Below are 11,116 nucleotides of genomic sequence, written 5' to 3' on the forward strand. Positions count from 1 at the left end.
TTGGATTTTTACCAGATAATTAACTTTTGTTATTAAAAATTGGTCTAGTGTAATAGTAGCCCTTGTTTTTTCAATATTATGGAAAATACAAAAAGCATCAGAAATATACTAATTATTCAGACCACTCTAGCAGTTTGTGTTTTTCCACTGTTATTTCCTATTCCTGTTCTAATTTGGTGAGCTTCATTAAAAACACATTACTCATTTCAGTTCATTTTACCCATTTACAGGTGTTTGCCCATTATGTTATGATCTTGCTCCTAATTCTAGTCTCCCCCTCCCTCTCTCTCTCTCTCTCTTGTTAACCAACGTCTCTCTTTTTCCCTCCTAAATCAAAAATATCCATGGGGACAAAATTTCTTTCTGTTTTTGGAGGGGACAAATCTACATCCAAAAGAAGGAGCACCCTTGTTATTTCTGTCCTGGCAATTTTATTCTGCTGCGCATATACCATCTGTTCAGTATCCGGTATTGCATATAGCACACTTTCAATTCGCTTGTAAGTTTTTGTTTGTTTCTTTTGGCTGTCTTAGCTTATAGCCATGATTTCACTCTAAAAATGTTGATTGGCAGGTACTATTTCTTTTTCACCAGTGTGTTCCTGGTTCCAAGAAAAGTGCAGGAACATATAGTGGAATCTCAGTATAAACTTGTTGAAAGAATGGATGATGCTTCCATCATGTTTTGGCTGTGACTATAGGATTAGATTTGTCTCTGGAATTTTCATTTTAGCATATGTGTTGACTATACTTCATGCATTTATTAGAGATAACATATGGTGACCTGGATCATAATCCCCTTTTTATATTAATAAAATCCAGATTTATAACAAAGTAGTGGAGGGAAAGAGGCTATAATAAAGAGATAGGAGACAGAGATAACTCATTTCTCCAATACAAGCAAGTCATCTGTGGGAAGAGGAGTGGGATGTTCCTAGTTTATAGTCCTTTAGTGATAAGGCATGCAGTCAGCCCTCTGTATCGCCACGTTCGGCACAGTGGATTTAGCCAATGACAGATGGAAAATATTTTTTAATCTCGATAAAAAATAATACAACAATTAAAAATATTAAAAATAAAAGCAATACCATACAACAACTATTCACATAACTTTTACAATGTGTTAAGTGTTATAAGTAATCTAGAGATGATTTAAAGAATATAGGAGGATGTGCATAGTTATATGGAAGTACTGTGCCATTTTATGTCAGGCACTGGAGCATCTTTAGATTTGGGTATCCCAAAGTTTCCTGGAACCAGTCCCCCATGGATATATAGGGAACACTGTACAAAAAAATGGTTCCAGGTTTCTTCCCGCTTTGAAATGTAAACATGTCTGTCCAGAGATAACTCTGTATTTCTCTGGAGGTTTTTATCTATTCAATTATCCCTTAACTTCCAAGATTTTTCTTTTAGTGCAGGTTTTTGTGCAAAGTTGCTTTGGCCACTCCAGGTCTTTCAGATTTTCAAATACTTGTTTAGAATTAGCTTGAGAACTTAAATAGCAACAAAGCCTTGATGGGTTTAGAGATTGCATTGAATTTATCAGCCAATCTAGTTGGGGGGTGGGGGTGGGGATTGAATGTTAACAATATTGAGACTTCTTGATCTATGACCAAGGTATCTCTTTCCATTTCTTTGGGCCTCCTTTAATTTCATTCAGTAACGTTTTGTAGTTTTCACTGGACAGGTAATGCACATGTTCAGTCAAATTTATCCCTAAACATTTAACATTTTGAAGCTATAATAAATAAATTTTAAATAAAATAATTCTGATTATTCATTGCTAATATTTAGAAATACAATGGATTATTGTATATTGGTCTTGTGTTCTGTAAACTTTCTAAAATCACTGGTTAGTTCTAATAGCATTGCTTTTTATTTCCTTTTAAAGATTTTATCAAGTTCCATCAGATTTTCTTTATAGACAATTATGCTTTCCACAAATAAGACAGTAAGACAATTTTCCTTTTTGCATAAATCTAGATGCCATTTATTTCTTTTCCTTGCTTTTGTTCATTGGCTAAAATATCCAGTACATGTTGAAATGAATATCCCTCTATTGTTCCTGATCTTAGTTGGACAGCATTTAGCATCAATTTCACCATTAATTATTAATGTTGGATGTATATTTTGCATACATTCATGTATTAATTGCTTGTTACTCCTGTAACAAACTACCACACACTTATTCACTTAAAACAGTACAAATGTATTATCTTATAGTTGTGAAGATCAAAAGTCCTAAATGACTCTCATTGCGTTAAAAAACAAGGAGTCATCAGGACCCAAAGCTCCCATGCCCTCCTGAGGCACATCCCCCTCCAGGAACTGAACGAAGGATGTGTTCTGCTATCCAGCAACTCTCCAAACCCAGTCCTTTTTGTTTTCTATGGAGGTCTCATTACAAGCATGATTGATTAAATCATTGACCATTGGTGATCAACTCGATCTTCAGTGCCAATCTTCTCCCCAGAGTTTTAGTGTGGGGCTGAAAGTTCTAACCCTCTAATAATGCCTCATTCTTTCTGGTGACCACCTCTCATCCTGAATCTGTCTAAGGGCCCCCAGCCACCAATAAACTCAGTAGCATACAAAAAGAGAAACAGGGACTGAGATCAAATATATATTTCACAAATAACAGTTAATGTTAACATGGTTAATTATATTTTATTATTTTGAATGTAAAACAACTTTGTGTTTCCAAGATAATAATTATGGTGAAATATTCTTTTTATATATTTTTGGATTCTATTTGCTAAACGTTAAAGTTTTTTTGCATCTATATTCATATAACATACTGAACTATAACTTGCGTTTCTCACAATATGTTAGAATAATGTGGTTCTCATAGAATGAGTTTCGTTCTCTTCAATTTTCTGAGTTTCTGTAGAATTGCCATTATTTCTTCTTTAAATATTTGCTATCATTCTCTTGTGAAAAATTTAGTAATAAAGAGGATTCTTTGTGAGAAAGTTTTTAACTAAAATTTTACTGTTTTCAATAGATATGAGATATCTAGGCCACCTATTTCTACCTGAATAAAATTTGGTCTTGTCATTCAAGGAAATTGAAATATTGAACTTAATAAATTTATTGAGTAAAGTTCTTCCTAAAGTCAACTAAAATACATTTTTCTAAAGGAGAATAATGTTTATTGGGAAACAGGGTATTTCAATATGAATACACACGCCGTATTAAATTATGTGTGGATTTAGAGAGGTAAAGGACAAAGCTTTTAAAGGAAACATGAAGATTACATAATTGTATGGACATAATTATCCTTGGCTGCAAAGATCAATAAGATCAATAACAAACGTGATGTCAGTTCTAGGATGAACAGGCAATTGCTGGGCAGATGTCTTTGGAGAAGTATTTTTTGTGTAAGTTTGTGATGGCCTTTGTGCAAGTCTGCAGTTTTCGCAGTCTTTTTTGATATTTTTTGTTATTAGGCACACAGCATGAGAACTTTAATATGCTTCCCAGGTTCTATTTGTCAGGGTTTCTTTCCCTTCCTTCCTCTCTGTCTTCGTTTTCCTTTCTTTCATTTTTTTAATTTTTTTTATTTTCATAGGTTATTGGTGAACAGGTGGTGTTTGATTACATGAGTAAGTTCTTATTGGTGATTTGTGAGATTTTGGTGAACCCATAACCTGAGCAGTACACACTGCACTCAGTTTGTAGTCTTTTATCCCTCACCCACTTTCCACCCTTGCATTTTGATTCTGACAATTTTCACATTATTCTCTAATTGTATAATCACCTAGAGTTTTTTTTTAACTTTCTGATTTTTTAAATGGATTATTTGTGACTCTTCTCTTTTTTATTGATAAATCTGGCTAGAGATTTATCAATTTTATTGATTTTCTCAAAGGACCAGTTTTGTTTTTGTAGATGTTTTTACATTGGTGTTGTGATTTTTACTTCATTAATATCTATTCTGATTATTAATTTTTCTTCTTATTGCTTTAGTTTGAGTTTTATTTATAGTTCTTGTTTTATTGTTTTGGAGTCGATGACAAGGGCATTGATTTTAGATTTTTCTTCTTTAATGTCATGACTTTCTCCCTTAGTATTGCTTTAGCAACATCACACGACTTCTGATATGTTGTTCTTTTGTTTCCATTCTGTTCAAAATACTTTCTAATTTCACTATTATTTGGCACATGTATTATTTAGAAGTGTGTTCTTTCTTTCCATATGATGGAGACATTTTTGTAGATCTGTCTGTTAATTTGCTTCTAACTTAGTTCCTAGGTTACTTCCAGGGATTACAATCCTCTTTAATTACTCGAGACTTGATTTATGGTCCAACTTGGTAAATATTTCATGCATACATATGAAGAATATGTGTTTTGCTGTTGTTGATTGGAGTGTTTATAATTGTTAATTAGGTTAAGTTGATTGGTAGTGTTGTGTAAATATTCTATGTCCTCATTCATTCTTACTCTATTTGTTCTCTCAATTGTCAGAAGAGGAGAATTAAAATTTCTAACTACAATTGTGAATTTTCTTGTATATTAGTTTTAGTTTCATGTAATTTAAAGCTATGTCTTCCTGATAACCTGACAGTATTAACATTATAAATTAATCTTTATACTCAGTAATATTCTTTGCTCTGAATCACATTTTTTATATTAGTATAGTCACTTCATCTTAATTTTGACAAGCATTTGTATGATTTATCTTCTTAACCTCTTTTACTTTTAATCTATTTGTGGTTTAAGCTAATAGTTCTTAAAGTTTTTTTTCTTGCAAGCAGCATATGATTAGAGCTTGCTTTTAAATGCAATCTGAAAATCCCTGCCTTTTAATTGAAGTATTTAGGCCATTAAATGTGATGTGTTAGTGGTATAGTCAGACTTATGTTTTTCATTATGCTATTTATACTCTATTTGCTTTATCTTTTCTCTCTCATTTTCCCTCTTTCTGCCATATTTTAGATTCATTATTACTTTTACTATAAATCAATTTGTTTCTCTTCTATAATTTATTTAGTTATATCTCTTTATTTTGTTATTTTAATGGTTACTTTAACTTGTCACAGTCCAGATGAAAGAGATATTATACCACTCTACACAGTTCACAAGATCATAGAATAATATACAGTGAGTCCTCACCTAATGTCATCAATATATTCTTAAAAACTGACTTCAATCCATCTTGAAGTAATTTTTGTATAAAGTGTAAGGAAGGGATCCAGTTTCAGCTTTCTACATATGGCTAGCCAGTTTTCCCAGCACATTTATTAAATAGGGAATCCTTTCCCCATTGCTTGTTTTTCTCAGGTTTGTCAAAGATCAGATAGTTGTAGATATGCGGCATTATTTCTGAGGGCTCTGTTCTGTTCCATTGATCTATATCTCTGTTTTGGTACCAGCACCATGCTGTTTTGGTTACTGTAGCCTTGTAGTATAGTTTGAAGTCAGGTAACGTGATGCCTCCAGCTTTGTTCTTTTGGCTTAGGATTGACTTGGCGATGCGGGCTCTTTTTTGGTTCCATATGAACTTTAAAGTAGTTTTTTCCAGTTCTGTGAAGAAAGTCGTTGGTAGCTTGATGGGGATGGCACTGAATCTATAAATTACCTTGGGCAGTATGGCCATTTTCACGATATTGATTCTTCCTACCCATGAGCATGGAATGTTCTTCCATTTGTTTAATTCAAGATGGATTAAAGACTTAAATGTTAGACCTAAAACCATAAAAACCCTAGAAGAAAACCTAGGCATTACCATTCAGGACATAGGCATGGGCAAGGACTTCATGTCTAAAACACCAAAAGCAATGGCAACAAAAGCCAAAATTGACAAATGGGATCTAACTGAACTAAAGAGCTTCTGCACAGCAAAAGAAACTACCATCAGAGTGAACAGGCAACCTACAAAATGGGAGAAAATTTTTGCAACCTACTCATCTGACAAAGGGCTAATATCCAGAATCTACAATGAACTCAAACAAATTTACAAGAAAAAAACAAACAAACCCATCAAAAACTGGGCAAAGGATATGAACAGACACTTCTCAAAAGAAGACATTTATGCAGCCAAAAGACACATGAAAAAATGCTCATCATCACTGGCCATCAGAGAAATGCAAATCAAAACCACAATGAGATACCATCTCACACCAGTTAGAATGGCGATCATTAAAAACTCAGGAAACAACAGGTGCTGGAGAGAATGTGGAGAAATAGGAACACTTTTACACTGTTGGTGGGACTGTAAACTAGTTCAACCATTGTGGAAGTCAGTGTGGTGATTCCTCAGGGATCTAGAACTAGAAATACCATTTGACCCAGCCATCCCATTACTGAGTATATACCCAAAGGACTATAAATCATGCTGTTATAAAGACACATGCACACGTATGTTTATTGCGGCACTATTCCCAATAGCAAAGACTTGGAACCAACCCAAATGTCCAACAATGATAGACTGGATTAAGAAAATGTGGCACATATACAGCATGGAATCCTATGCAGCCATAAAAAATGATGAGTTCATGTCCTTTGTAGGGACATGGATGAAATTGGAAATCATCATTCTCAGTAAACTATCGCAAGGACAAAAAACCAAACACCGCATGGTCTCACTCATAGATGGGAATTGAACAATGAGAACACATGGACACAAGAAGGGGAACATCACACTCTGGGGACTGTTGTGGGGTGGGGGGAGCGGGGGAGGGTTAGCATTAGGAAATATACCTAATGCTAAATGACGAGTTAATGGGTGCAGCACACCAGCATGGCACACGTATACATATGTAACTAACCTGCACATTGTGCACATGTACCCTAAAACTTAAAGTATAATAATAATTAAAAAAACTGACTTCATATGAAACAACATGCAGAAAATGCTTGAATAATGTCATTTAATTCAGTATAGTTTCATTACAATATTGATGAGGATAAAAGTTGGTTTCCTTATATATAGTTTATGTTAAAGACACACTCACTTTTCAAGAACATATCAATGAGATTAGGTGAGGATTTACTGTACTTTCCTTTCTACCTTCTAGGTCTTTATGAAAATGTTGTTATACATTTGACATATACAGTTGATCCTTGAAAAACACAGAGATTAGGAGTGTCAATCCCCATGCAGTTAAAAATCTCCTTATAACTTTTGATTTTCTAAAAACTTAACTACTAATACCCTACTGTTGACAGGAAGCCTGACCAATAACATAGTCAATTACCACATATTGTGTATGTTATATGTTATATGTTACTGTAGTCTTACAATAAAGTAAACTAGAGAAAGAAAAGCATTATGAAGAAAATTAGAAGAAAAAGAGAATGCATTTACTATTCATTAAGTGGAAGTGGATCATCATAAAGATCTTCATTCTTTTTGTCTTCAATTTGAAGGCTAAAGAGGAGGAAAAAGAGGAGTTGTTCTTACTGTTTCAGGGGTGGAAGAGCCAGAAGAAAACCTGTGTATAAGTAGATCTACGTAGTTTAAACCTGTGTTGCTCAAGGATCAACTACTGGATGTGTGAATGTGTATGTGTATGTGTATGTGTGTGTATTATATGTGTGTGTGTGAGAGATATATATATATATGTATTTGACATATATGTGCTATAAACTCCACAATATTTTAAGCTGTCAATTACCTTTTAAAGAGATTTAAGGCATGCAACTCATATATTTATCCCTGTAGTTATAATTTCTGGTGCTTTTTATTCCTTAAGGGTTATCTCATATTTTCATCTGGTATCATATTTCTTCTGCTTGACACTTACACTTGTTTTAACATTTCTTGTAGTGTGTGTTTGTTAATACTGAATTATTCCAGCATTTGTATATGAAAAAATATATTTACTTCTTTTTCATTTTTAACAAAATTTTATTTTGAAACACTCATGTATTCCCAGAGAGTGAATATATATTTCCTCATGAGCCCTTTGCTAAGTTTTCCTCAAAACATCTTCTAAGACTAGAAAGACTATAAACACAAAGCAATAAGTGTGTTTAAATTAAATATGCAAGATCGCTAGTTTCAAAGTCAAAAAACAAGCGGAGAAAGAAATTAGAACTCTGTGAGTAATAGGAATGAAAAGTTTGACCTATGATGTGAGATCTTGCTGACCTCTTGAAATCAAGGTCTGGGATACTTTTCTTGCTCTGAGCAAAGACTGCAAAAAGGCAATGATGGATCGTATATAAACTTGATGCTTAATGAGGTGGAATGAAGCAGATACAGCCACGTATCCGCAATGTCTGGATATATTATACAACCAAAATTCAAATCTAATGCATCTTATTTTCATTTAATATTTCCTATTTCTTAGCTTCTATTTTATCTTCTCATGTTTTTAGGCATCCACATGATATTCTATGTAATTTTAGCTTAATCTTACAGTTCACTAATTTTCAATTAAGCCTCATTTAATGAGCTCTTTAACAAATTCACTGTTTTTAATACCAAATATATAAATATGTATATGTTAATATATGCAAATACACATAAATATACATACATATTTTATATTTTTCTGTTTTTTGTTTATTTTGTTTTTTTGTTGTTGTTTTTTGAGACAGAGTCTTGCTCTGTCACCAGGCTGGAGTGCAGTGGCACAATCTTGGCTCACTGCAACCTACGCCTCCTTGGTTCAAGTCATTCTCCTGCCTCAGCCTCCCGAGTAGCTGGGAATACAGATGTGCTCCACCACACCCAGCTAATTTTTGTATTTTTAGTAGAGATGGGGGTTTCACTATGTTGGCCAGGATGGTCTCGATCTCTTAACCTCATGATCCACCCACCTCATCCTCCCAAAGTGCTGGGATTACAGGCGTGAGCCACCACGCCCGGCCTGTTTTTTTTTGTTTTGTTTTTTTGTTTTTTTAATTTTCGTTATAAGGCTGACTATTCTTGTCTGTGTATGACGAATTATGTATTTTTGTGAACTGATTGCTTTACATAGGAAAGGCACAACTTTGTAATAATTATAAATTTAGGATCACGTTTTGTTGTACAAGTCAGACTCAGGATAATGGGAGCAGCTAATTCCCTTATAAAATGATCTAAGATGCATTATTTTGTTAAGATGACTTTATTTTTGGCTTATAATTCTATATTTTATTTGTTGAATTGTAATTTTTAAAATATATCTGTTGGCTTTGAAATTGCTTATCATTTGACACAGGGAATAAAAGTGAAATGGCATAATCATTAGATTTTACTTTTTGGCAGATAAAATTTGGCAGTACCCAAGCCAAAAACACTTAAGAAAAATAAGATTACACAACACATAAAGAATCCAAAGCCATTTTAAAGAAATTAAAGAATTCCCAACACATATATCTTTTATTTATTCTAGGAACATTCAAAATATTCTCTTTCAGTTATTTGAAATGTATTGTTAATGTTAACTATAGTTACCCTACTGATCCATTGAACATAGGTCTCATTTCTTCTAACTGTATATTTGTACCCATTAATCGACCTCTCTTGATCCTCTGCTCCCCTCTATCCTTCCTGGCTTCTGGTAATCACCAATCTAACATTTTCATGAAACCCACTTTGTTAGCTCCCACATATGAGTGAGAACATCTGATATTTGTTTTTCTGTGCTTGGCTTATTTCACTTAACCTAATGAGCTTATGACCTCCAGTTCCATCCATGTTGCTTAAAATGACAGAATTATACTTTTTATGGCTGAATAATATTCCATTGTGAATATATAAAACATTTACTTTATCTATTGTTCCACTGATAAGCACTTAGGTTGATGTCAAATATTGGTTATTGTGAATAGTGCTGTATCTATCTACCTAGTAGTGGAATTAATGGATCGTGTGGTAGTTGAAATTTTAGTTTTTGTTATGAAATAAATTTCACTTGGTTGAATATAGTAACATAGAATAACAGAATGTAATACTTAGTAAATTACATGTTTGGTTATTCAGCCTTTACATAGAGTGACAAGAGACTCACAGAAGAACTTGAATACTCATCCCTAGTAAATTGCATAATTTCTATGTCATGCAAGTATAAATTATTATAAAAATAAGTTCCAGTATTGAGGAATATATAGAAGTATAGGTCAAATGTTAAATTTAATGTGCATGTTACTGCTAATATTCATTATCCTATTCTCTAAAATAGTAAATAGAACTTTATTTTAGAGTATTATTTTAAAATAGAGTAACTTCACTGTATAGAGGCCTGACAAAAACTACCTCAGCTAGGTGATCAAGATTAGCATGGTCAGTGATAAGTCATGTTGGTAGCATGTATTCTGGAAATGATGTGATAGAAATTGAAATTTGCCTTTAAGATCTTCCTCTCCAAACCCATAATCCCAGTTTAATGAGAAAAATGTCAGACAAAAGTAATTGGTTGACAGTCTGCAAAATACCAGACATGTACTTCTCAAAACTGCTAGGTCATTGAAAACAAGGAAAATCTGAGAAATAGCCAAGAAGAATCTAAGTAAATGTGACAACTAAGATTGGGGTACATTTCCAAGATAAGACAGATAGCAAATCAGATAAATACATCTCATTTTCTTGATGTTTGATACATTCAACATTCATGGCCTGAAACACAAATGTAATATTACTAAATATTATTTAATTTTATTGATAATCTATTTGTTATATAACAGAAAAATACAGTAGTTTGAAACATATATTTAGCACCTTATTTATTTATTTATTTAATTTTTTGAGACAGAGCCTTGCTCTGTCGCCCAGGCTGAAGTGCAGTGGTGCAATCTCTGCTCATTGCAACCTCTGGCCTCCTGAGTTCAAGTGATTCTCCTGCCTCAGCCTCCCTCCTAGCTGGGACTACAGGTGTGCGCCAACACGCTGGCTCTTTTTCGTTATTTTTAGTAGAGATGTGGTTTTATCATCTTAGCCAGGCTGATCTCAAACTCCAAACCTCAGGCAATCTGCCTGCCTCAGACTCCCAAAGTGTTAGGATTATAGGCATGAGCCACTGTGCCTGGCTAACACCTTTATTTTAAAACTGGCCTTCAGGAATTTGTTAGGAATTTGTAGAACATCACATTTATATCAGCTTCAGCAATGAAATTTGAGATAAGCTAGAGAATCTTTGCCAAAACTGCCTAACCTGAGAGCCCAGCTGCAGAATTAATTGA

Source organism: Homo sapiens, chromosome 21 (assembly GCF_000001405.40).
Source record: "Homo sapiens chromosome 21, GRCh38.p14 Primary Assembly".
NCBI lineage: Eukaryota > Metazoa > Chordata > Mammalia > Primates > Hominidae > Homo > Homo sapiens.